The following is a 27,372-nucleotide window of genomic DNA, read 5'->3' as shown; positions in this document are numbered from 1 at the left end:
CTGCAACCTCCACCTCCCGGGTTCAAGCGATCCTCCCACCTCAACCTCCCGAGTAGCGGGGAATATAGGCATGCACCACCATGCCTGGCTAATTTTTGTATTTTTTTGGTAGAGATGGGGTTTCAACATGTTGGCCAGGTTGGTCTCAAATTCCTGACCTTAAGTGATCTGCCTGCTTTGGCCTCCCAAAGTGCTGGGATTATAGGTGGGAGCCACTGCACCTGGCCCAAAGGTGGTTTTTCGAAAAAGCTTCCTGCAACTCCCTATCTCACTCACAGTCCAAGCCAAAGTCCTGACGATTGCCGGGTGGGATGGCTCACGCCTGTAATCCCAACACTTTGGGAGGCCAAGGCGGGCGGATCACGAGGTCTGAAGATTGAGACCATCCTGACTAACACGGCGAAACCCTGTCTCTACTAAAAATACAAAAATTAGTCAGGCGTGGTGGCGCCTGTAGTCCCAGCTACTCTGGTGGGCGCCTGTAGTCCCAGCTACTCTGGAGGCTGAGGCAGGAGAATGGCATGAACCTGGGAGGCACAGGTTGCAGTGAGCCGAGATCGTGCCACTGCACTCCAGCCTGGGAGACAGAGTGAGACTCCGTCTCAAAAAAAAAAAAAAAGTCCTGGCAATTGCCTACAGGGCCCCACAGGAATTCCTGTGAGCCTTTCGCCTCAAACCTCCTGTCTCAGTCTGCTCCAGCCATACCGGTCTTTTTGTTGTTTGTTCTCTGAAGTTCTTTTTAAATTATTTTTAATTTTTGTGGGTACATAGTAGGTATATACATTTATGGGTTACATGAGATATTTTGATACAGGCATGCAATGCGTTAGAATCACATCAGGGTAAATGGGGTGTCCATCACCTCAAACATTTATCCTTTGTGTTACAAACAATCCATTTATACTATTGTAGTTATTTTAGGTGTATGGTTACATTATTTTTGAAGATAGTCATCCTATTGTGCTAGGAAATACTAGGCCTTATTCATTCACTCTTACTACTTTTTTGTACCCATTAACCATCCCCACTTCTCCTCCAACTCCCTGCAACACTTTCCAGCCTCTGGTAACCGTCCTTCTACTGTCTCCATGAGTTCATTTGTTTTCCTGTTTAGCTCCCACAGGTAAGCGAGAATGTGCAATGTTTGCTTTCTATGCCTGGCTTACTTCCCTTAATGTAATGACTTCCAGTTCCATCCATGTTGTTGCAAATGACAGGGTTATGGGTGTCCTATAGAGAGGATGCTGAGCCATTAACTGCCTATCTTTGCAGTGATTCAAACTTCACCCTGGATTTTTATCCATCACTGTATGTTGTTCCCCTGTGACTCTGTCTCATTTCCTGGCCTGGCCAGTTTGGCCCATTTCCACGCAGGCAGCTCCTCTCCCTTGCCGCCAAGCTTGGCCACAGGGAACCATCTTATGAGCCCTCAATGTCCATTTGCTCAGCATTCAGTCCTCTACTGCGACCCAGGATACAACCTCATCTCTGAATCTGCAGCCAGATGTAAAGATACAATCTCTACCCTCAGAGGGGTGGACGGACTGTTGAACATTATTTCTCCAGCAGTCTAATCTCAATATCGTTACTCTCAATCAGTACTTTTTAGAAGAATATATAATCATAAGTCATGACAAATGTTTCATAAATGTTCAATGAAAGAACTGGATACACTTTATAGACAATATAATCACAATTTTATTTTTAAAAAGTATATATTAATCCCATACGTAACAAAATATGAATGTTTCTCTAAGTAAGATGATGTATGATTTCAATTAACTCATTTTTTCTGTATGTTCTATGTTTTAGAAATTAAATCCTGTTCTTTTCTAATCAGAAAGAAATTAATGTTATTTTATAAAAAGAAGCTTTAAGCCGGGCACAGTGGCTCACGCCTGTAATCCCAGCACTTTGGGAGGCCGAGGTAGGTGGATCACCTGAGGTCAGGCGTTTGAGACCAGTTTGGCCAAAATGGTGAAACCTCGTCTCTACTAAAAATACAAAAATTAGCCGGCCGTGGTGGTGCATGCCTGTAATCCCAGTTACTCAGGAGGCTGAGGCAGGAGAATTACTTGAACTCAGGAGGCGGAGGTTGCAGTGAGCCAAGATTGCACCACTGCACCCCAGCCTGGGCAAGAGAGCAAGACTCTGTCAAAAAAAAAAAAAGCAGCAGCAGCTTTATCAGTAAATGAGTATCATCATAAAAGTGCCTATGTTATGTCAAGAAACAACTGTGTGCAAGAGTGAAGGAAAATGAATGAAGGACATTTGGGATAATAACCCAAGTGTTTTAGTTTGTGACTAACAGTTGACAAGTGTGAAAGATGTCAAAATAATATATGCCAGACTAGATTGTTGATTTAGGCCTGGGAGAAAAAAGAGTCAAACACATCCCAGGAATTATTTGCAAACACAACATCCAGAAAAGGAATAATTGCCAAGAAAAGTTGAAAGGGACATGATGAGTTCAAATTAAGACATTCAGATATTCAGTGAGTGTGGTTCAACCAAAAAGAGCTTTTCTAATAGGCAGATGGAAAACGGTCTTAATAGTAAATGTAATCAATTGATCAAATCCTGGAGAGTAAATGAGAGAGTAACTTATAAAGGGGTGTATTTGAAGTCATGCATTTAAACAAGCCAACAAAAGTATGGAAGTTAAGTATGGAAAGAGAAGAGTGGGGCCGCATGCCGTGGCTCACGCCTGTAATCCCAGCACTTTGGGAGGCCGAGGCAGGCAGATCATTTGAGGTCAGGAGTTTGAGACCGACCTGGCCAATGTGGTGAAACCCCGTCTCTACTAAAAATACAAAAATTAGCCAGACGTGGTGGTGCATGCCTGTAGTCCCAGCTACTCAGGAGGCTGAGGCAGGAGAACCGCTTGAACCCTGGAGGTGAAGGCTACAGTGAGTGGAGATCGCGCCACTACACTGTCTCAAAGAAAAAGAAAAGAAAGAGAAGAGCAAAGCGCTAGGACTAAAACCCACAGATGTTAAAATTTAGTGAAATGAATGTTAGTCATCTCCATCAGTATTTAATAACAGTTGGGCAGCAGATAGCCAAAGGCTGCAAACTCTGACAGTAATAACGATGCTAATAATATCAACAGCCTTTTCTTTATTCATTCAACAAATATTTACTGAGCACCTATCACCAGGTAAGCAAAGTAAATTATGTGGAGTTTAGAAGAAAATTAATGCTATGAAGGAAAATAAAGCCTGGAAGGAGGATGAGGAACGCCTGAGAGGGGGATGGGGCACTTACAAATTTAAACAAAGTGGCCAGGAAAGGCCCAACTGTGGAAGTGACATTTGGGCAAAGACTGGAACGAGCTAAGGGGTGAACCCTGAGTCCACCTGGGTGAAGAGCCTCCCTAACAGGGGAAACCACAAGTGTAGAGGCCCAGACATTGTATTGGAGGACTGGCAGGGACACCAGTGTGGCTGGAGCAGGGTGAGTGGAGATCTTTCTCCCCTAGGAGATGAGGCCAGGGTGGTGATGCGTGAGGGGCTCCTGCCTTCTAGGTACTGAGCTGCTCGTTTTGCATAAATCCTCTTATTTTATCCCATCCCCCTCTCAGGCGTTCCTCATCATCCTTCCAGGTTTTATTTTTCTTCATATCATTAATTATCTTCTAAATTCCACATAATTTACTTTGCTTACAACACCCCCATGAGTTAGATGCCATGTAACAGGCATGGAAACTGAACCTCAGAAAGAGTAAGTGACATTCTCAAGGCCATACAGCTGTTCAAGACAGAGCTGGGATTCAAATTCCAATCTATAGGCACTGAGTTCAGAGCCCTCCTGGGCCATACCCAGCACCCCACACTGAGTTTTGTTTCTAGCCCCTCAAGCAAACTCAGCAAGGGCTGCCAGGCAGGGCCCCCTCTTACTCAACAATGGCCCATTCTTCTACAGGGTCACCCCTGGTCCTCTAGAACCCCAGAACTCAGAACTTTGCTGCTGAGGCTGCTGTGGCCTCTGTGTGCCCAGGAAGGGACTTCATTTCTGCCTGTGGATTCTTTAGAATGCCCAGTCGTCTGCGGGTCCTGCCCTGATCACAAGGAGAAGCCAGGAGCCTCCTCTTCAGGCTACAACCTTCCTTCTTAAGGGCCACAGAGTTTGTGGCCCCACCCCCAGCACAGCCCCACCTTGGCCCCAGGAACCCTGGGAGTGGCCTTGGCTTCCTGCAGGTATGAGCTTCAGTGAAAATGGGAAATCTGACTGATGGGCCCTGCCTTGGGAGGCTTTTCTCTACCAGGAGTCACCAGTTTAAGTTTTAAGTGTCAGTTTTGGTGTATAGATGGCTACACATTAGGATCAACTTGAGGATTTTAAAAAATAATAATAATGCCCAGACTCACCCAACCCCAGATCAATTAAATTAGAACCTACTGGGTTTGGGTTTGAACATCAGTATTTTTTATTAAACTCTCCAAGAGATTCTCAGCATAGTCATGGTTGAGAACCACTGAAATGAACCAATGGGGTTTGCTGTAAGAGTTAAATTAGGCCATTCATTCATTCATTCAACAAACATTCATTGAGTTCCAAATCTGGTACAGGCACTGTTCTGAAGGGGAGAAAACAGCTGTGAACAATGGTATTTACATTAAAAAGTTCAAAATGACAACAACAACAAAGTACACTCATAAATAATAATACAAAATATGATGCAAACAATGGTGATATGGCAGAGAGTGCTGAAAGCTGAGATGGGGTGAGACAGAGTGGCCCGGGAAGACCCTTCTGATGAGCGTGGATTCGAGCTAGGACCCAGAGAACCAGAAAAGGCTGACGATGTGAGGGAAGGGTGCCCCAGACAGAGGCAAAGGCCCCGGGTAGGGTGTGCTTGGGAAAGGGAAGAGGCCAGTGTGGCTCCCCAGAGTGCGGGAGGAGAGAGAGAGAGGAGGGCGATAAGGTCAGATGGGTCCAGAGCCAGTGGGGCCTGGTAGACCACAGAGAACAGTTTGGCTGGTGTGCGGTTTTGCGAATGGATTGTAAAAAAAAAAGAGGCAGAAGCTTTTTTTTGCACAAAAGTGAGCACCTTTTGATAGGCACAGTGGTGTGATGGAATTCCTGTGTCGAAAGGAAATCTCTGCTGGGCACGGTGGCTCACGCCTGCAATCTCAGCACTTTGGGAGGCCCAGGCAGGTGGATCACCTGAGGTCAGGAGTTTGAGACCAGCCTGGCCAACATGGTGAAATCCCGTTTCTACTAAAAATACAAAAATTAGCCGGGCATGGTGGCGGGTGCCTGTAGTCCCAGCTGCTAGGGAGGTTGAAGCAGGAGAATCGCTTAAACCCAGGAGGCGGAGGCTGCAGTGAGCCAAGATCATGTGATTGCACTCCAGCCTGGGCAACAAGAGCAAAACTCTGTCTCAAACAATAAAAATAAAAATAAAGGAAATGTCTGATTGTTGTGTGGGGAATGGGTTGAGGTGAAGCACAAAGAGTAGAAGCAGAGGCAGGATCAGTAAGGAGGTTACCACACCCTCTTGGCGGGAAACCACAGTGGCTGGGACATGGGGTCTCTCCACGGCATACAGGGAGAATGCACACAGGGAGAATGTGGAGGGAATGCACACAGTTGACACTCAGCACAATATGGCTGGTGACCAGCCCCTCGATTTTGGCTATTCTCATTAATAAAAGTTTCCCATGACAGCCACTCTCCTCTGAGTAGGGGGTAGGGAGCTGATGTTGGAGCTGAGCTTGGACTTTGTGAGGCTGGGGGACACAGCGGAGCCACAGTGGTGTCAGGCTAGAAAGGCAGGTGCCGGCAGAACCAAGGGCCAAGGCTGAGAGAATAAAGGGGCAGGTCAGGGCAGGCTGCAGGCAGGATGGCTGAGAGCACAGTCCCAGGGCTGGACAGGGTGGATGCTACAGTCTCAGGGGAGCCCTGGGATGCTGCAGAGCTGAGCCAGGTATTGTGGGAGAGATTGGGAGAAAAAACAGCAGCAGGGCAGAGAGAGACTATTTCTCCCACACTCCCAGAAATGCAAATACAGTAGTTCACTTCTTTGCTTCCCTTAGTCAAATGTCAACTTCTAAATGAAGCTTTCCCACGGTCACCCTATTTTAAAATATCAGCCAGGCACAGTGGCTCATGCCTGTCATCCCAACACTTTGGGAGGCCGAGGTGGGCGGATCACCTGAGGTCAGGAGTTCCAGACCAGCCTGGCCAACATGGCGAAACCCTGTCTCTACTAAAAATACAAAAATTAGCCGGGCATGATGGCACGCGCCTATAATCCCAGCTACTCCAGAGGCTGAGGCAGGAGAATCCTTTGAACCAGGGAGACGCAGGTTGCAGAGAGCCGAGATCGCGCCACTGCATTGCAGCCTGGGCGACAGAGCGAGACCCTGTCTCAAAAGAAAAGAAAAGAAAAGAAAAGATCAACACTCCTCCCTGACTCCAACACTTTTGAATCTTCTCTTATCCACCTTTTCTCCTTTGCATTACCATCATCTGACACACCATTGATTGCATCTATTTATCTCACTGCATTTCCCACTACTAAGATGTAAGGAATATTGTTTGTATCCCTAGCACCTAGAATGGTACTTAACATGTTTTAAGACTTCAAAAATATTTGATGAATGAATGAGTGAGCAAGTGAGTAAAGAGGAGCTGTGGCTGGCTCCGTGGAGCCAAAGGGAAGCCTGGTGGCCAGAGTCTGACCGACTGTGGAGGGCTCTGCTCACTAGCCAGTGGGGCTTGATCTCCGTCCTGTTGGACATGAATCACTGGAAACATTTGAGGCTTATGATCCAGCCTGCCCAGGTTAGCAGGAAACCTGACACCTCCCACTGCCCCTTCCTTGATCAGGAACTCAGGGCGAACACTCTGCCAAAGGCCTGGGAGACGAGGACATGAGAGGGAGCCCACTGTAGCTCCTCCCGCCTGGCTTTTGCTCAGAGGCTCAGCCCTCCACGGTGGCTGAGCTGGGCCCATGGTTCAGCTCTGTACCCTGAAGGTGTCCAGCTGACTCAGGGTCACTGGCCCAGTGTCCTCTGTCCTCCAGCAAGTGCCATCCACACCCCTCAGAGATGGTCTCACAATCTTGAATTTCAAGGTTTCTTCTCTGAAGGCCCCTTGAGGCTTTTGCAGATCTGGCCCTTTCCTGCCAGGCAAGGGATTCTGGGCACCGAGGAGGTTTGGAAGGTTTGAAGGGACTGTCAGGCCTAGGACGGTTCTGGGTGACCCTCCCTACCTTACGTTTATGTCACAAAGGAGGGGTTATTCAAGTGACTTTCTGTAGAATAAAAACTAACTCTCTAGTACTTTGATGTCTCCAGCTGGGCAAAGAATTCTTAGGCAGCCGTTTCTCTCACAAGTAAGTGAATCAAAGAACAAATAAACAAGGAAGTAAATTATTTCTAAGAACAAGGGTTCTACCTAATAGTCATCATGCTGTACCAGACTTAGTCCGGGCTGATAAGTGGCATAACACCTGGTGAATTCTGGGACCTTGAGATCATCAAGGACTCAAGGCTGGGCTGACAGTAATGAGCCCTTTGGCTGAGACACAGATTTAAATGGTCTGTATCATTTAGCTGTCCAGAAAACCAGGTTATCCACTTGCCCTTCTTCCTTTTCTCCACTTGCCCTTTGTTGGTTTCATTTGACCATGTGCTTCTCAAGCTACAAACTGAATGATAGATTTACCTGGGAGAGGCTCAGGAGACAAAACAAGCAATGACAATTCATGGATTTCATTTGAGTCCTGATTTAAACAGACTTAAAATTTATGAGGCCATCAGGGTAATTCGCACACTGTCTAGATATTTGATGATATGATGACATTATTGTGCATTTCATTAAGTATGATCATAGTATTGTGGTTATTGTGTTGTTTTGAAAAATCCTTACCTTTTAAATATTTATAATAAAATATTTATGGGTGAAATGACATGATTCCCAGAATGGATTCAAAATAATCCAAGGCAGGGAGTCAAGAATATAAATAAAATAACATTGGTCATGACAATAAGTGAAGTTGAGTGATGGGTACCTTGGGGGTACCTTGTACCATCTCTCTATTTTTGTACATATTCAAAATTTCCCAAATAGAAGTTGAAATAAAACAAAAGAATCATCTGGGGAGCTTTTGAAACATGTAGGTATCCAGACCCCATCCTGAGCAATTCTGAATTAATTGGTCTGGAGTGAGATTGAGTGTCAGTATTCTCCTAAAAGCTCCCCAGAGGATTTTCATGTGTATCCAGGGTTAAAAAGAGCTAACCAAGCTGCAAAAAAAAAAAAAAAAAAGTATCATCTGATTCCATTTATATTTAAAAATATACATTCAGGCTGGGTGCAGTGGATAATGCCTGTAATCCCAGCACTTTAGGAGGCTGAGGCAGGCAGATCACTTGAGGTCAGGAGTTCGAGACCAGCCTGGCCAACATGGTGGAACCCCATCTCTACTAAAAATACAAAAATTAGCCAGGTGTGGTGGTGGGCATCTGTAATCTCAACTACTTGGGAGGCTGAGGTGGGAGGATCACTAGGGTGAGCCTCTGGAACCCAGGATGCAGAGGTCGCAGTGAGGTGAGACCGTGCCACTGCACCCCAGCCTGGGTGACAAGAGCAAAACTCCGTCTCAAAAAATATATATATATATATATAGATAGATAGATAGATAGATAGATAGATAGATAGATAGATAGAGATATATTCAAAGGTATGTTTACATAGATATTTTCAATATCTGTAAGGATTCATTCCATACTTCTCTAAGAGTCACTTTCTCAGCAGTGAGAGAATGGGAGAGATTTTTACTTCCTTCTTGACATTTGTATTGTATTGCTTGAAACTTTTACAAGTGTGTATTATAGTTATGACTTTTTAAATATTTACACTTGATAAAATTTGTTCAAAAATTAAACAGGGTACACTGCAGGTAGTGAGCTTCCCTTCACAGGGGCATTCAAGCAGGAGCTGGAGGAGGGTGAAGTGGGGGCATTGTAGGCAGGGGGATTCCTGGGGGGCTGTGATGGGGGATTGAACCAGTTATCTCTGAGATCCAGAGGCTCACCCTAGGACTCTGAAATGGGACCTTATCTTTGCACAAGTCTCACCTCGTGGCTGGGAAGTCAGTGGGCTTGAGTGGTCTGCGTTTGCTTCAGCATCCAGCTGCTCCCAGTGGGTTCTTGCTGCTTTAAGCTTTCCCCATACAGTCACTACTGGGCCTGAGGTCGACCTAATACTTTGCTTCTTCTCCAGGGCTGCTGCCAAGCTGCAGGCATTGCTGGGAGGCAATGCTCAGGCCACATTCACCCTACATGGACCAGCTGGACAAGGAAGTGGGGGTGATGACGTGGGGCTCCACCACCTGTGTTGATAAGGTCTCTGTTCCTTCTCCGGCCCCTGCAGGACAGCCATGGACCTACTCTGGATGCCCCTGCTGCTGGTGGCCGCTTGTGTCTCTGCTGTCCACAGCTCACCAGAGGTTAACGCCGGTGTTTCCAGCATCCACATAACCAAGCCTGTGCACATCCTGGAGGAACGCAGTCTCCTAGTGCTAACGCCCGCTGGCCTGACCCAGATGCTGAACCAGACCCGCTTCCTCATGGTGCTTTTCCGTGAGTGCCCCCATCCTGGGTGATGGATGATAGATGGGATGAGGCCTGCCTCCTTGTGTGTGGGGACCAGAAGAGTTTTATATATTGCTAAACACATAAGAACACATATTATTTAAAACAGACATTTAATATATATAGACAGCATCATCTCCAATCTCCAGATGAGAATACTCCAGGGAGGTTAAGCAAATTGCAATATATTATGCCATCCCTGTAGTCTTGGATTTGTATGTGGCTCCTCTGTCCCACTGAAGAGGAGCCAGGCTTTAACCCGAGGTGTCTGTATTATTCCGAGCCTCAGTCTTTCTCCTCTGTAAAATGGGTGTGAACCTAATGACACACTGGATTATAGTGAAGATTAAATGAGATGTGATAAGTTCCTGGAACACATCTAGAGAGAAATAAATGATGGCAGCCTGGGGCAAGCTCTGGAGACAGTTTTTAGACCGTCACTTTTTTGTTTGTTTTGAGACAGGGCCTTGCTCTGTCTCCCAGGCTGGAGTGCAGTGGCATAATCCCAGCTCACTGCAACCTCCACCTCCTGTGTTCACGCGATTCTCATGCCTCATACATCTGAGTAGATGGGATCGCAGGTACCCGCCACCACACCCAGCTAACTTTTGTAATTTTTGTATTTTTAGTAGAGACAGGGTTTCACCACGTAGGCCAGGCTGGTCGCGAACTCCTGACCTCAAATGATCTGCCCACCTCAGCCTCCTAAACTGCTGGGATTACAGGCGTGAACCACTGTGCCCAGCCGAGACCATCACTCTTGCTGTCAGATTTGCATGGCCACTTTTGTTCTTTGGACATTTTGCATCAGCAGACATTTTGGGGGACAGAGCAGGCTGCTTCTTCCTGAGGCATTGGGACCAAGCCATGCCCTGGGACAGAATGTAAGGGATTTTCATAACAACTTCCCCATAGTGAGCATTCATGGTGTGCCTGGCACTGTCCTAAGTGCTTCATTAAATGTGACATCATTTGATCCTCACAACCCCGTGTGATGGGTACTAGTCATCTCCCTATTTGATAGTTGAGGAAACAGAAACTCAGAAAGGATCAGCAATTTGCCCAAGGTCACACAGCACAAGTGGCGACCACAGACCCCATGTTGTCCCATGTTCTGTATGGTAGGATTTGGAGAATTAGACCGCAGGTGTGAACACTGGATTTGGAATCCTGTGTTCAGAGCCACTCCTGGAAAATTGCTGGCTCCGTGTCAGTCCCTAAGGCCTGCTTCCAGGACGTGCCTGACCAGCACCAGGTTCCCAGAGGCTAGGCAGAGCCTAAGGTTCCAGGGAAGAGCAGGGCAGGGGAGGCAGGGTGCCTTTCCCTTCTTGGTTTTCACCTGCTTCCCAAGCTGCCCCTCCACCCACACTCCCCTATGCTCCTCCTCGCGGCTGTTGTTCTGAGACAGCCCTTTCTCCCTTCTCTGTGTGCTGCCCTCTGACCAGAACCATTTACAGACTCCCTTTTATTTCTAGTCCAACCAGTGCAATGTAGTGTGATGAGGTCAGCTTCAGGGGTTCACAGTCCTACGTTCAAAGGCTGAGTTCTGCCACTTACTGGACTGGTGGCCTTGGGCTGGTGATCTTGAGCATTCTGAACTTCTGTTTACTTGACTGTAAAATGGGGAATTTAATAACATTTATAGGCTGGGCATGGTAGCTCATGCCTGTAACCCTGGCACTTTGGGAGGCCGAGGTGGGAAGCTCTCTTGAGCTCAAGTGTTCAAGAACCAGCCTGAGCAACATGGCAGAACCCCATCTTTACCAAAAAGAAAAATACAAAAGTTGGCTAGGAATGGTAGCACACACCTGTAATCCTAGCTACTTGGGAGGCTGAGGTGGGAGAATCGCTTGAGCCCAGGAGGTCAAGACTGCAGCGACCCGTGATCATGCCACTGCACTCCAGCCTGGCTGACAGAGCGAGAACCTGTCTCAAAATAAATAAATAAATAAATATGTACATACATAAAATTTATAACTCCTAGGGTTATTGTGGGGATTAAGTGAAATAATGTGCTTAGCACAGTGACTGATGCGTAATAAGAACTTAAGAAGATGTTGGCTTCCACTATCATCATCCTCGCCAGTTTTCTCACCTGTACAACAAGGTTAATAATTCCTCCCTTGCAGGTTGTTGTGGTGATGAAAGTGGGCTCAGATATGCAGTCCCCTGTCACAGGGGGCACTCCACAGGCAGAAGCTATCACCATTGGGTTCTTATTCACCCCACACTTATGCAGCTCAATGCCAGGCAATGGGTGGGCTCTATGAGTGTCTTGGTTTCTGCTCTCAAGGACTTTACAGTTTAAGCCAGGAATGTCACAAGGCATGAGAAACCCTTTAAAACAAAGTGTGATAAAGTCATGCAATTAAAATAGTCTAAACTGTATACTTTGGGTGCTCTGAAGTGGAGAAGTAATGGTTTGAACTTGTCCTCAGAAGTGATTCTTTCAACTGCAGCAGCTGAGTGACGTTCTCTGGCTTGGTTCCTGCTCCCTCATGTCTTTGAGTGCACGAGGGATTCCCAGGCCAATGCAAATGCATCTGGAAGCTTGAAGTTTGCCTTGAAGTGAGAGACAGCATCTGTTGGGCTTCCACGTAATGCCCAGTGATAGATAATCAAAGCCAAAGAGTTAGTAGAAGTCGTTGAAATTTATGGTTGTTGATATCAATATTTAATCAAAGACCTCATGCCAAGCATTAGTAAGTTCTAAAGAATCTCTCTTAACCTGAATCATTCATGCATCTTGGTTCTTATGCAACATCAAGGTTTGGTGTAACATATATTGGGATCCAGGCAAGACTGAGTGTAAAGCCGAGTTCTTCCATAAACTGGATATGTGGCCTTGGGTGAGTTTCTTGTTGTCTCACTTTCACCTGTAAAGCGAGAATATTGAAAGTGGTATAGTCATTATAGGGATTAACTGAGAGGTTATCACCTGACATGTGGAAGTTGCTCAATAAACATGAGTTCCCATTCTCCCTTACCCTGTGGCACTGAGGCAAATGCAGTTCATCAACCCTGTGTCAGTTAAGACAGAGTTCAACTACAAGTAATTAAGAATCTGCTAATGGTGATGTCTTTGTCTGTTTGTGTTGCTACAAAGGAATACCTGAGGCTGGGTAATTTATAAACAATAAAGCTTTATTTGGTTCACAACTCTGCTGGTTGTAAGTTGGGCATCTGATGAAAGGTTCGAGCTGCTTCTACTCATGGTGGAAGGTGAAGGGGGAGCTGGTGTGTGCAGCAATCATGTGTGAGAGGGGAACAAGAGAGAGGAGCAGCGGCTGCCAGGCTCTTTTTAACAACCAGCTCTTGCAGAAACTAATAGAGTGAGAACTCACTCGTTACCTTGGTGACAGCATCAAAACATTCATGAGGGATCCACCTCTATGACCCAAACACCTCCTATTAGGCCCCACTCTAACACTGGGGAACAAATTTCAACATGACATTTAAAGAAAGTCGAACTAACCAAACTATAGCAGGTGGCTTACTCCAAGAGTTGATCTCACACACTATGTGAGGTGGGACAGGAAGTCAATGCCTGACATAGCAACTCCACAGTGTCAGGGACAAGGCTTCTTCTATTTTCTGACTCCCTCATCCTTGACACATTAAAACTGATGGTCACAAGATGGCTGCTATGCTTCTTGCATTGCACTGCACGTTCCAGCTAGAAATAAAAAGGGATGGGCAAACAACAAAGGGATAAAATACGTCAGCCACCTATGTCCCTTTAAAAAAATCAAACTTTCCCAGAGCTGCACCCAATCACTTTGGTAACATCTTATTGGCTAGAACTTAGGCCCATGGATGTTTCTAACTGAGAAGTCTGGAATGGTGAATGTTTTAGGTTTCCAACCTCTTTAGTTGAGAAAGCAAAACAAAAGGAGGTTATAAATGGCTGATTCTCAGTATTTGCCATAAGATCCAAGGTTATAGGCTAACTTAAATGTGTCAAGCATCTTATTAGTTCTTTACATATCATGGGGTCAATTAATACGAGATCAATGAAATCCCTTAAAGAAATAAATTATATATGTATTACCCACTTTAATACTCAAACTTCTTCTTTGCTCTAATTTTGACTAGTTATCTTAAAGATCACTGTGTTTACTGGGAAAGCTAACTGCTATAACAATCACCAAATCTAGGTTCATAAGGGTCCATATCATCTTAGTCCCAGGTGGGTCTGCAGAGAAGCTCTGCTCCATACAATCATTCAGGCAACCAGTCTCCTTCTACCTAGGACCTCAGCCACCCCTTAGGGCCTAGAGTACTCCACAGAAACCTCTGCCTCCAGCCAGCAAGGTGGGAGGGAGACGAGGATGTGCCTCTGGGTCAGGCTAGGCCTGGAAATGATGCCCATCTGTGCTACTCAATGTGTAGGCCATAAGCCAGCAATGTCAGCTTCACTCAGGAGCTCATAGAAATGCAGACTCCCAGGTTTCATCCTAGAAGCACTGAATCGGAATCTGCATTTTAACAAGATTCTCAAGTGATTCACATACATTAAAGTGTGAGAAGCACTGGTGTACATCATTTCTACCCACATTCCATTGGCCTGATCACTGCCCTATAGCCGTGCTTATCTGTAAGAGAGGCTGGGAAATGTAGTATGGCTGTATACACCAAGAGGAAAAAGAAACCAGGCCTGGGGAACCCACAATATTGCCTTCCTTTAGTCACATTGCACCTGCTTTTTGCTATAAAAGCCTTGAAATGACCTTTGTTCAGAAACAACTCAAAGCTGGGCAGGCTGAGAGGCAGCCTGGTGGAATAAGCTCTTTCAGACAGTGAACCACCAGAAAGAGTTCTCTTCTGGGTAGGAATGTCAAAAACTATTTTCTCCAAGAGATTGCCTTGGCTCAGGCTAACTTTCAAGGGACAGCTGTTTCTCAAATCCCGTGGACACTGGACAGCCCTCACCTTCCTTGACCTTCTTTGCATATTCATGCCAAGACCCCCTAGTGCCTGGTTTCAGTGAACTCAGTCTCTTCTGGTTCCTGTGTATCTCTCTGGCTCCTTTTTCACAGTTCTTTTCTATGACTCCTCCTCTTTCCCATAACATTGAAACTAAGGATATAACAGGAAGCCCAGGAACTGAGCCCATGAGCTGGCAGCTGGCCCATGCAGTGTTTAAAAGAAATGAAACATGTCACAGTTAAAACTGAATGTGCATCAGCTCTTCAAAAAATCAGAAGACCTGGAAGCTCTGGCCCACAGTCCTGCAAGGTGACAATTGGCTGAAGCTGAGTTGTGATTTTTCCTTGTGGTCAGAGAACATGCTTATCAATTTGCCATATTCCTATCCAGCCAACCTCACACTGTCACACTCTCTGCTTTACCCCCATGACATTTGAGTCTATGTCCCCTGCCAGAAATTCGGTCTTCCAAAGCTCCTTCCTCAATCCTTGTCCTTCTCATTTGAGGTATACTCTGTGAGTGGTGCCACTTAAATGAGGAAATTTGGGGATATGGGAGCATCAACAACTCAGCCCCCCTGAGTCCTGGTGCCTCCCCTGCTAGGTTATGCTGCCACTTCATAGAAGCATGAATCACCTTCTTTTTCTACCGTTAACATTTATAGTTCCCACAAGGAATGTCCAATTGGGTCATTTTTGCCTCCATCCAATATTGAACATGCGTGTTGCTTGAAGTTTCATCAATGTAGTTCCAAGCTTGTGACCTCCCTCTAACTCAGGCTGTTCTTCAGGATGCCAGCTTGATTTTACTTCAAAGCCCTTCGAGCAATACCTTGTAAGAGAAATCCAGCCTAGGCCATTTTCTTTACATGAGCCTGTGAGCACGGCAGGCATTTCCACTTTGCTGAAAGACTCCTCCAGCTAGTTCTGCACATCCCTCATCCACACTAGAATTCAGGCCAGCACTTGTGCATCTATTTCATGGTGACTTTTACAGGGAGGAGCAGAGAAACTTGCAGTCTCACTCCACTTGCTGTGGAATTGGTAAACTAATGGTTTACATAGATAAAACATCCAAACCATCTCTTTTGCTGCAGCCCTAATTTCTAATCTGAGACCCTCAATGGAGGTGTTAAAAGGCTTAGAGCCATACATTTACACAAACACATAACACACCTCAACACATTCCCCTTCCAAAAATGGTGCAGTGGATGGATAAGGCTGGGAAACCTGTCCAGTCCACATGAGAATAGAAGGCTCTGCTCTGTTTTAACCAGGGCAGAAGGGTGAGTTCATGGTTCTTTAATTCTTATGACTTAAGAACTGACACTAAATCTGAGGCTACAGAGGGAACCAATCAATTTCACATTCTTGAATTGCATTTGACACAACCAACATGCATACTTTAAACCTAAAGCCTTTCCACTAGCAGGTATTTCAAAGCAGTGAACTCAACAACAGCAGAAATTTTCTTATCTAAAAGGGACACTCAATTAATCTCATTACATTTGCATCTTTGATTCCTGCCAATACATAATTAAATTCAAAATGAGTTCTTAAAAAAACTAGCCGGCCTTCTAAAGTGGCCTTTGGAAAAACAAATCACTTGGGGAAAGCACTATGAAAGCTTTCTTCAAGGGTAAATGGGCTCTTTGCAAAAGAGATTATTTTCAGACACTGCCCCCAGGGACCACCCCAGTCTCAGATCCTTAATGGGTGACCAGCTTTCTCTTCTCTCTGAGAACTCCAGGCCAAGAGCCAGTGGTTGGGGGAGCTTTCCTCTCAATGTTCTTTGCAGTCCCACATTGTCCACATGTGGACATTGCCACATGTCCACGACAGACCTCAGCATCTTTGATTTGGTCCCAACAATCTGCTGCTCCTTATGTCCTGCCTTCACTGAAAGTACCACCATCCACTCAGTATCAAAGTCAGAAACCTCAAGGTTGTTCTTGATTCTTCTACTCTCACATGTAATCCATCACCACGTCCTGTGGATGCCACTTTCTAAATCCCTTTGCAATCTCTGTTCTCCCCATCCCACCACCACTGCCTTGGTTCAGGCCTCATTATTCCTCACCTGAACCACTGCAGCAGCCTCTGAGATGGTCTCCCTGCCTTCTCCAATGCTGTCCTGCAATGCATCCAGAGAGACTTCCTCTAAAATGCAAATCTGATCAGGTCATTCAGTAGCTAAGGTCTTCTGCTTGATCTAGCCCACAGCTACAGCCTCTGGGCCTTTGCACTTGCAGCTTCCATAGTATCCTTCCTACACTCCTTCACCTGGATTGTGAAGTTTATGCCCCTCATTGGTAGGCTGTACCCACCTTCACTCCCACTTAGTCTGGCTGGGAGGCCTTCCTATGCTCCCACTGCCTTCTTTTTAACCTCTCTCTCTCAGCATTCGCTATATGGTATCAAAACTGCTTTTCATCGTGTACATTGCATGATGTTGGGGGCCAAATCTTATTCATCTCCTGATTCCTAACATTCAGCATTGTGCTTGGAGCATGGTAGGCTTCCATAGATGTTAAATGAATGAATAGATGAATGAATGAGATTTCCTTTGGCCCATAATTTTCTCCATCCACATTAACTTGAATGAATCAAGGAGAGAAGGACTCACTACCATTAGTGGAGAGAGGTCAAGATAAGATTAGGAGCTGTCTAGGGTCCTTTATCACTTGTCCCTAAGGCAGAGGTGACAAGATTCTGTCCTAGGAGTAGGTTAGATGATGATGGTGAGCATGATGTGGAGACGGTAATGTGGATGGAATAATGATGAAGATGATGATGATGATGACAATGGTGATGATGGTGATGGTAATGATTATTAATTATAGTGGTGATGATGACAATGGCGATGATGGTGCTAATGATGATGATGATTAACTATGGTGATGATGACAATTTCGATGATGGTGCTGGTGATGACGATTATGATGATGATGACAATGGTGATGATGGTACTGGTGATCATGATTATTAACTATGGTGATGATGATGACAATGGCGATGATGGTGCTGGTGATAATTGTTATGATGGTGATGATGACAATGGCAATGATGGTACTGGTAATAATGATTATTAACTATGCTGATGATAATGACAATGGTGATGATGGTGCTGGTGACGATGATTGTTATGGTGATGGTGATGACAGTGGTGATGATGGTGCTGGTGATGATGGTTATGGTGATGATAATGACAACAATGGTGATGATAACAAAGGCCATTTATCAAGCACCTGTGTTTCAGGCACGGCACTTGAAAACCTTGTCCCCATCTTGTATATGAAGCACGTAGGTGTCAGAAAGGTTAGATCATTTGCCCAAGGTCACACAACTGGTAAGTGGTGAAGACTGGATTTGAGACCAAGCTTGACACCAAAACTGGTGCTAAATTCATCTTCTTGCACTGTGCTGATCATTGGAAACTTCATTCCTTCAGTATTTATTGAATACGGTTATTTCCCAGATATATTGTAGGCACTGAGGATATAGTGGTGAACAAAACAGGTGATCATCCTTGCCCTCCTGGAACTGACATCCTAGTGAGAGAAGACAAAAGAAAAATAAGTAAAATATATAGTATTTCCTACGGTTAAAAGTACTATGGAGAAAAATACACAAGAGTGATAGGGAATGCATGGGGTGGATGGAGATGGGGCTGTAGTATTAAATAGGATGGCCAGGGACAGCCTCCCTGGAAAGGTAACACTTTAGCAAAGATCTTAAGGTGGTGAGGCAGTGATCCATGCAGATTTAGGGCAGAAGGAACAGAGAGTAAAAATACCCTGGGGTGAGGGAGATTGTGCCCATTTGGCTAAAGATATAGGGTTTCTGAAGAGAAGAGGACTAAGAAATGAGGCCAGAAAAATAGGGAGGTACAGATCTTTTAAAAACTTAAAGGCCATTGCAATGGTCAAAACAAATTGGTGGCTGGCCCCTGAGAAACAAGAAGAGATTGATGACAATCCTGAAGTCCCTATCAGCTGTGAGTACCTCTGTATACTGTACATGGCCCTATGGAATGGGCAGAGGGTTATTCTCAGAATATTTTTTTCATGCTTGATCAGAAGTTGGATCTAAAGTAGGGTTTCTTATCCTAAGCCCTACGGACATTTGACTAGATAATTCTTTGCTTGTGGGGCTGGGGGCTGTCCTGAGCATTGTAGAATGTTTAGCAGTATCCCTGGCCTCTACCCACTAAATGCCAGTAGCATCTCTTTTTCCAACTGTGACAACCAAAAATGCCTCCAGACCTTGCAAAACGTCCGACATTGAGAACCACTGGTCTAAAGAAAGGCAGACTCAACTTCCTTGTGCTGGGATCAAACTCCAGTCCCTATACTCATCACCTCCCCATCACCCATCAGCCCCTCCTCTGACTCACATTCACTGCTCAGAGAAGGAAACCTGGGGTTTTCTACTAAAGACCAGGCAAACGTTAATTCTAGGTCCATCAGCCATTAACACATCTACACACCAAGCAGACAGTCAGGGAGCCATTGCCTATTCTAACATGGCCCTGAGTCCCGTGTGCTTACCCTGAAACCCATGTGAGAGCTCCATAATAGGCCTAGAACTTGTGGTGGATGGTTTGGTGATGGTCACTGTTGTTCCCTTTCATCAGTAGCCGGAAGATCTTTGGGGTTCCTGACATTGCCATGGGACCCTCCCTTCCCAGAGAGAATCTGGTCAGAGCAAGACCAAAGAGTCTCCACCTATGTCATCAAAATAGCTAATGTTTATTTGTACCAAAGTTTTGCACACCTTGTCTTATTTTGTAGGATCACTCTGAGACGTAGGATCTATTAATAACCCCACTTTTTATGAATGAGGAAACTGAGTCACAGAGACTTAAAAAAATAAAAACAACTTTCCTGGGCCACAAGGAAAGTAAACCACCATAACTGCCTCTTTTTGATGAGATAGCCTAAGGAATTCACATTCATTGAGCATCTAGTATATGGCAGACAATGAGCTAGGGCCTGAGAGAAGTTGGGTCCATGGGCACCCTTGGCCTCTGCCTATCTACAGCCCACTGGGCACTGCTCAGCCTAAGTGCCAATATACACGTGAATTGTCTCCATACCTGGCCAAACTGGCATTTCCAGTTGACCAGGGCAGAATGTAAATGCTGAGACCTGAGGAGTGTATGCATTCATTTCACACCTACAAACTTGGAATTCAAGGTTCCAGAGCCCAGAAGGAAAACCAATTTGCAATTTTTTTTTTTTTTTGAGATGAAGTTTTGCTCTTGTTGCCCAGGCTGAAATACAATGGTGCAATCTTGGCTCACCGCAACCTCCACCTCCCAGGTTCCAGCGATTCTCCTGCCTCAGCCTCCCAAGTAGCTGGGATTACAGGCGTGTGCCACCACGCCAGGCTAATTTTGTATTTTTTGTAGAGACGGGGTTTCTCCATGTTGGTCAGGCTGGTCTCAAACTCCTGACCTCAGGTGGTCTGCCCACCTTGGCTTCCCAAAGTGCTGGGATTACAGGCGTGGAGTCACCACGCCTGGCCCAATTTACAAAATTTTTAAAGAAAGAAGCCAGAAAATCGGACTCTAAATTTTAAAGAGTGGCGTTGGCTGTGTAGGTTGTCTCTGCTCTGATGGGAACCACCTGGAACAGAAGAAATGAAAAACATGCCCCCATTAATCTGCTCCAAGAAAAAGATTTTTCAGACCAGCTGGCCAATTTGGTCATTTAGAGCATGAACCTTGGAGCCAGTCAGCCTTCGAGTTGACTCTCAGCCTAACTGCATACTAGCTGTAAGACCTCTGGGTTTCCATTTCCTTATCTGTGATATTCCTGCTTGTAATCACAGATAACTCACAGGATTGTTCTGAAGATTAACCAGGGTAATGCATGGAACACTAAGCAAGTACTTAGCACAGTAAGGGATCAATACGTGTTGTTATTATTACTATTCTCATTATCAACATCGCCATCAATATCATCATCATTATGGCGATGATAGTGACATCATCATCATCTTTCCATAGAAGATCCTACATAATCCTATGTCACTCAGATAAAAACCTCAGAGACACCCTTGACTCTTCTCTTTCACCATGTTCCATATCCAAACTCCTCCTCCCAAATCTCTCTAGAATGGAATCACTTCTCAGCCCCTCCATTACCACTCTCCTGGCCCAAAGCCATCACCATCTCTTGCCTGGATTACTGTAGTAGCCTCCGACTGGTCTACCTGCATCCTTTCTCTTTCCCTTTTTGTCTAATCTCCATATAATATTCAGAGAAATCCAGTTAAAAAGTAGCTCAGATCACCACCTAAGGACAGGAGTTCAAGACCAGCCTGGCCAGCATGGTAAAACCCCATCTCTACTAAAAATACAAATATTAGCAGGGCCTGGTGGTGCATGCCTGTAATCCCAGCTACTCAGGAGGCCAAGGCAGGAGAATCACTTGAACCCGGGAGGTGGAGGTTGCAGTAAGCCAAGATGGTGCCACTGTACTCCAACCTGGGTGACAGAACAAGATCCGTCTAAAAAAAAAAGAAAAAAGAAAAAAGAAAAGAAAAAGAGTAACTCAGATCACCTCCACCTCTGCTCCAAACCCTCTGGTACCATTCCATATTCTGGGAAAAGTCAAAGTCTATTCAGTGGCTTGCGAGACCCTACATCACCTGTCCCCTGGCCCCAGCTCACTCTGCTCCAGACCCAATGGACTTCTTGTCATACCTTGAACATGTCACACATGCCCCACCTCAGGGCCTTTGCATACACTGGCCCTTTACCAGGAATTCTCTCCTGCTAGATGTCTACATGGCTTGCGCTCTCATTTCTTTCCATCTTTATTAAAACATTGCCATCTTTAGCCTCCTACTTAAACTTGCAATTTCCCTAATACTCCCAACCTCCAACTCTCCTGTTCTTTTCCAAAGCACATATTATCTAACACAGCACATATTTTACTTTGTTATTCTGCTTATTTTCTGCCTTTTCAAGTGACAGCAGGGGTTTTTATCTGTTCACTGTTATATCCCCAATCCCTAGGACAGTGCCTGGCACATGGCATATCCTAAAAGTTTCATTGTATGAATGAATAAATGAATGAATGCATAAAACGAATGAATGAATCTCCATTACTATTATCATAGGCCCCATCAATCTAGCTCTCAGACCCCAGCACTCCGGTTGCCACAAGCTCTCTCTGTCACTTCCATTTCAGACACCCAGGGGCACTGGGTTGTGTGTGGAACCTCTAAAATTTGCTTTACCATCTGGACAATCATTCCAAGTGTTTCTCTTGCCCTGAGCTTCCGCCCTCAGAAACTCAGATTCGGATTCTATGTCAATCAGCAATCCTGAGCCCAGCATGGCCACATCCACGAGGAAGCCGGGGAGAGCCCCATGGACCAGAGCAGCCAGCAATTGGCCAGTGCATGCTGGTGATGATGGATAGGGGATATCAGGGGATATCGAAGGCGATGACGGTGACAAAGCAGGCAGTGGAGGGGCATCGATCCAGGAGGGAGGCACAAAGTCCCCGCTTCCGGTCCATTGACCGGGAGTTTAATGAAAGCGATCATTCACTTTCCGATCCCATTGCAGGAGCAGGCGTGCTGACCAGCAACGGGGCCCTCGCCAGCTGTCCCGGGGCCCTGCTTTCTGAGCGGCACTTTACAAAAGACCTCTCTGTTGGACTTGGAACTTGCCCTCTGCAGCAGAGGTCATTTGCACTTTCTCCAAGTGCTCCAGATGGACCACGGGGGTGGGCGGCAGTGAAAAAGATAAAATGTTCTGGCTTGAAAGGCAATCAATGACCCCCTGCCCTGGCTCAGCCCCCCTTCCTCAGTCATGGGGTAGCGAGGAACCTGCAGCCTCACAATGTTATCAGGAGGAAGAAAGGCACACTTGGGCGCCTTTTAGTCCCCTCCGTTTAGCCAGAAAAGCCTCTTGCACTGCCAAGGTCACGTGCCAGCTCCCTGATACCGCTTCCAGAAAAGGGCTTCCCCAGTCCCTCCCCACTGCCCAGCAACGTGAGGGGCCAAGGCGTCCAGATCAGATCTCTTAATGGAGAGTTCCAGGTCTCTTCGAGACAAGAGGGTGGACTCAGGGGAACACCACAACCTCCCCTATCCCCGCCCTCCCCACACCTGGTTTTCCTTACCTGCGAAAGTCCCCTGTCCAATTACATGCAGGGCAACTGCAGGGGCTCAATTTGGCCTGTTAGCTCCAGGACGTTCCACCAGATGGCGCTCATGAGCTCTCATGCTTCCTCTCTGTCTCCATAATTTCTGACCACAGAATTTTTTTAAAACAAAAAATTTTAATAGTTTGGAAAATTTCCCTCTAGACTTCTTTTGCCCTGGGCATACACTTTTTAACAATTCCATAAATGTGATCATCGTGTCTATGCTATTGAGTGGTTTGTTTTTGTTTATTTCAATAGCTTTGGGGGTACAAGTGGCTTTTGGTTACAGGGATGAATTGTGTAGAGGTGAGGTCTGAGATTTTAGTGCACCCATCACCTTAGTCATGTTCTTTCTACCCAATATGCAGTTTTTTTTGATCCCTCACCCTGCACCCAGCCTCCCCGCATCTGAGTCTCCAATGTCCATTATACCACTCTGCATGCCTTTGTGTAATCATTGCTTGGGTCCTGCTTTGACCACAGAAATTTTACTATAATAATGGAAGCAGTAATAAGAACGCAGCATGTACTTAACTTGTGCCAGGCATTATACCAAGTGGTTTACATGCCTAGTGGAGATTAGAAAAGAACTCTACAGCCAGACAGAATGGGCTCTTATCCTGGCCTTACCTCTCACTGTCACAGGGCTTTGCGCAAGTAAGTCATTTGTTGTGCTTCAGCTTCCTCATGTATAAAATTGAGATAATAATAATACCTATCCCACAGAGTTATAGAGAGGAGTAAATGGCTTAATGCACGTAAAACTCTTAGAAAACAATAAGCAATTATAGCTGGTTGTGACATAAATCTCATTTAACTCTGACGATTCCTTGAAGTAACCACTATTATTTTCACCCACTTTACACAAGAGAAGTGGAGCTCAGAGAGATGGAGTAAAGTTGCCCATGGTTGTGTTGTTTCCAATGCTACTGAATCCAAAGAACCTTGATAGACATCTCCCAGATTGTCTAATTTCATGAACCATTGTGTCTCACATCTTGTCACATTTATGAAAATTCAGCCATTAACCGCTGAGCACAAGAAAGGTTCCGGGAGCTAAGCAGGCCCAACAAATAATCTACTGTTGGAGATGGGGAGCGAGGAAAGGCCTCTCAAATTTTGTCTTCATACTCTTTCAGACAACCCATCCTCAAAGCAATCCAGGAACTTGGCGGAAGAGCTGGGCAAAGCTGTGGAGATCATGGGCAAAGGCAAGAATGGGATCGGCTTTGGCAAAGTGGACATTACCATAGAGAAGGAGCTTCAGCAGGAGTTTGGGATTACCAAGGCCCCGGAGTTGAAGCTGTTTTTTGAGGGCAACAGGTCAGAGCCCATCAGCTGCAAAGGTAATGGTGCTTGTGTGTCACACTTGTTTCATGCTCATGGAAAGTCCACTTAACAGCTATAGGGTAAAGGTGGGAGGCTCTGCTCCATGCAGCTTCTCGGGGACCCAGGATCCTCCAGCTTGTGACTCTGCCCTTCTCTAGGGCCTTGGAGCCACCTGCTCTTTCCTCTGTATCCAGCCAGCAGTTGGGGTAAGGGGTAGAAGGTCACCACGGGTACTGTTCATGGCCCTGGCCATGAACAGTGGTAAGTATCACTTCTATTCACATCCCATTGACCAGAATTCTGTTACATGGCCAGAACCAGCTGCAAGAAAGGCGGAGAAATACAGTTCAGCTCTGTTTTTAGAAAGAAAACGGGTTTAGTGAATATGTGGCTGCTTCTACTACAGCTTGAAGCTCAGCTGATGGGCCCTAGAAACACCAAGAAGTGGGAGGGTGGGGTGCATGGCTTAGAAACTATCAGACACCAGAGATTAAGTTCTAACTCCACTTCCCACTCCCAATCTTTGACTTTAGAATGATTTGACAGAGTCCTAGGACTAGGGAAGCACTATTTAGCCAAAAGGGAAATTGGGAGATGATGGAACAAGACAGGCTTGGGATGCAATGTCTACCAAACACCTTACGTTCTATCATATTTTTCATTCATTGATTAACTCGTTCATTCATTTATTCAGCATCCATTTATTGACAAGCTACCATGTGCCAAGCCCTATCTTGATGTTGAGGATGTGTGGAGAATAAGGTACTAGTATGGCACATATGGTAGTCCCAACTTTTAGAAAGTTACATATATGAAGGCATTCATGGATGCAGGATGGATAAATGGATGGAAGGATGGAAGTAACAAAACTGATGAACACAGAAGTGCCTGTAACAGCCATGCCAGTAGAATGTTCCCATTATATATGTTAAATTATTGAGTCTTGAGTAACGGAAACTGCCTTCCACTGGATCTGGTGTATAGCCAGCTTCCAATAAGCTGGATTCAGTGTTATTTGCAAGAAACACACATCCAGGGGCTGCAGGATGCTTTGCAGTTCTCAGAATGGACACAAGAGGGCATGAAAGACACAGGATAGACCCAGAGAAAGGCGCCACAAGAGAACCTCGGAGCAATCACCTAAGGGCAGGGCTGCAGCTCCCAGCAGGCTTGTGGGAGGGTGGTGGCTGCGGGCGCCAGAGAAGAGATGGGGAGGGAGGGCGGGAGCAGTGAGAGAAGCAACAGAGGATGCTGTTTCCTATAGATACCAGGGGATGACCCTCAACAAGGGGGACTCGCTGACACCAGCAAGGAGCCCTTTGTGATGTGTTTGCTCTGGGGAGAGCTGTGAGGAAATGAGAGGCCCTAGGTCATCGGAGCCCATGACTGCTAATGGAGTGGCCCAGGTGCTGCAATGACCTTCCCTCCTGAAGGGCAGGAGAGAACTGACTCCACTTAGAGGCGACAAAGTAACAATATGGCAACTTCCAGACTGTGGGTGAAACTAGCAGAGAAGGTCCCCAAGGCATTTGACTTCTGAGCCCCCTTCATCAGGGAAACCAGTGCCTGGGACCTCGTCTGCCATACAGGAAGCTTCATCATCACCCCATCTAGGAAGTCTCCCCTGACTGCTCAGGCCAGGGTGCCTGCTCCACCTCTGTGGCCTCACAGCATCTGTGTTTTCCCCATCAAGGCCCTCGCCTCAAAGAATTACATCTGCTACTTATTGCTTGTTCTCTACAGAGAGCATCACAAGGGCAGTGGCTGATCTCACTTGCACTCCTGGGTCCTCTAAAGAGACTGCCAGAATTGACAGCACTCCCCTCTGCATCCAAATCCTTACCACAGGCTTAAGAAACAATCACTGCCGCTCGTCGAATCTCAGTTTTTCCATCTGTTAAATGGGGATGGTGAAAAGATCTACCCCTCTACACTGTTGGGAAGATAAAATGATGTTTGCAAGGCACACGGCCTGACACATACCTGTAGCATATACTGTGTTCCAGGCATTGTTCTAGACCCTTCTCCTATGTCATAACACCCCAATATAAGAGGTGCTTTTACAGATGGAGAAACTGAGGCACAGAAAGGTAGAATAACTTCCTCAAAGCTGCCCAGTGAGTAGTGGTGGAGTCAGCAAATGTTTTCTGCAAAGGCCCAGATTATTAATATTCCAGATCCTACAGGCCAGGCAGTCTCTGTTGTAACTACTCAGATCTGCTGATGCAATGTGAAGGCAGCCACGTGTTAACAAATGGGAATGACTGTGTTCCAATAAAGTTTTATTTATACAGTCAAACAGCAGGCCAGATTTGGACTACAGGCTATAGTATGTTGAAATCCGCTTTACATTGCGCTGTACTCTAAGCAAGAGGCAGATGTGTTCATTATTATTATCAGACTATTAGTTTTCTCATTCTAGTCCAATGCCTGGAACAATTAAGTTCTTAACAAATAGTTTTTGAGCCAGGTGCAGTGGCTCAACCTGTAATCCCAACACTCTGGGAGGCTGATATGGGAAGATCACTTGTGCCCAGAAGTTTGAGACCAGCCTGGTCAACATAACAAGACCCTGTCTCTACAAAAACCTTAAAACTTAGCCAGGTGTGGTGGCAGATACCTGTATTCTCAGCTACTTAGGAGGCTGAGGTGGGAGAATTGCTTGAACCCAGGAATTTGTGACTGCAGTGAGCCATGATTGCACCACTGCACTTCAGCCTGGGTGACAGAGTGAGATCCTGTCTCTAAATTTTAAAATAATAATAATAAAAGTTTTAGATTTTGAATACAATGGAATTGGAAGCACCCACTGCAGGTGGGCATAGGGTAAAGTACCCACCCATATTTCTGCTGGGCTTGCTTCCTCAGTATTACTTCTAACCAGAGAAAGGGCAAAGGGAATGCCAGGATGAAGCTGGGACAGGGATTGAGGATGCCTGGATTTTAGGATGAGCAGTAACCATGGGAACTTCAACGAGCCTTTTACAACCAGGCTTCCAATTTCTCTTTTTTTTTTTTTTTTTTTTTGAGATGGAGTCTCACTGTTTTGCCAGGCTGGAGTGCAGTGGTGCGATCTCGGCTCACTGCAACCTCCGCCTCCCGGGTTCAAGTGATTGTCTTGCATTAGCCTCCCGAGTAGCTGGGACTACAGGCATGTGCCACCACTCCCAGCTAATTTTTAGTATTTTTAGTAGAGATGGGGTTTCACCATGTTGGCCAGGATGGTCTCAATCTCTTGATTTCATGATCCACCTGTCTCGGCCTCCCAAAGTGCTGGGATTACAGGTGTGAGCCACCGCACCCGGCCCAATTTCTCATTTTCTAAACAGGATGAGTAAG

General features: G+C 45.8%; 1 protein-coding gene across 5 annotated transcripts in view, besides 1 other annotated feature; it reads left to right on the top strand.

The window, feature by feature from the left end:
• The first annotated feature begins 3,957 nt into the window (after positions 1-3,957).
• PDILT (protein disulfide isomerase like, testis expressed) overlaps positions 3,958-27,372 on the top strand; it is a 45,563-nt gene continuing 22,148 nt past the window's right edge. For 4 of the 5 annotated variants that reach the window (XR_950754.2, NM_174924.2, XM_011545765.2 and 1 more), the window contains exons 1-3: positions 3,958-4,199; positions 9,388-9,596; positions 23,844-24,050. Coding sequence is in view for 3 of the 5 variants with exons in the window: in NM_174924.2 (NP_777584.1) it covers positions 9,395-9,596; positions 23,844-24,050 (409 nt within the window). In the remaining 2 variants the exon portion in view is untranslated. Of the gene's footprint in view, positions 4,200-9,387; positions 9,597-23,843; positions 24,051-27,372 lie in introns of those variants that run through there. The other variant, XM_011545766.4, reaches the window with a different exon arrangement.
• Positions 21,639-22,172: an enhancer, noted in NCBI's record as "H3K4me1 hESC enhancer chr16:20397845-20398378 (GRCh37/hg19 assembly coordinates)". NCBI's record gives its function as "activates a minimal SCP1, AML or CMV promoter by ChIP-STARR-seq in naive H9 embryonic stem cells {active_cell/tissue: H9 hESC(naive)}" and the evidence as "EXISTENCE:reporter gene assay evidence [ECO:0000049][PMID:30033119]".

Source organism: Homo sapiens, chromosome 16 (genome assembly GCF_000001405.40).
Source record: "Homo sapiens chromosome 16, GRCh38.p14 Primary Assembly".
In the NCBI taxonomy this organism is placed as follows: Eukaryota; Metazoa; Chordata; class Mammalia; order Primates; family Hominidae; genus Homo; species Homo sapiens.
This window is presented reverse-complemented; position numbering and strand designations above follow the sequence as displayed.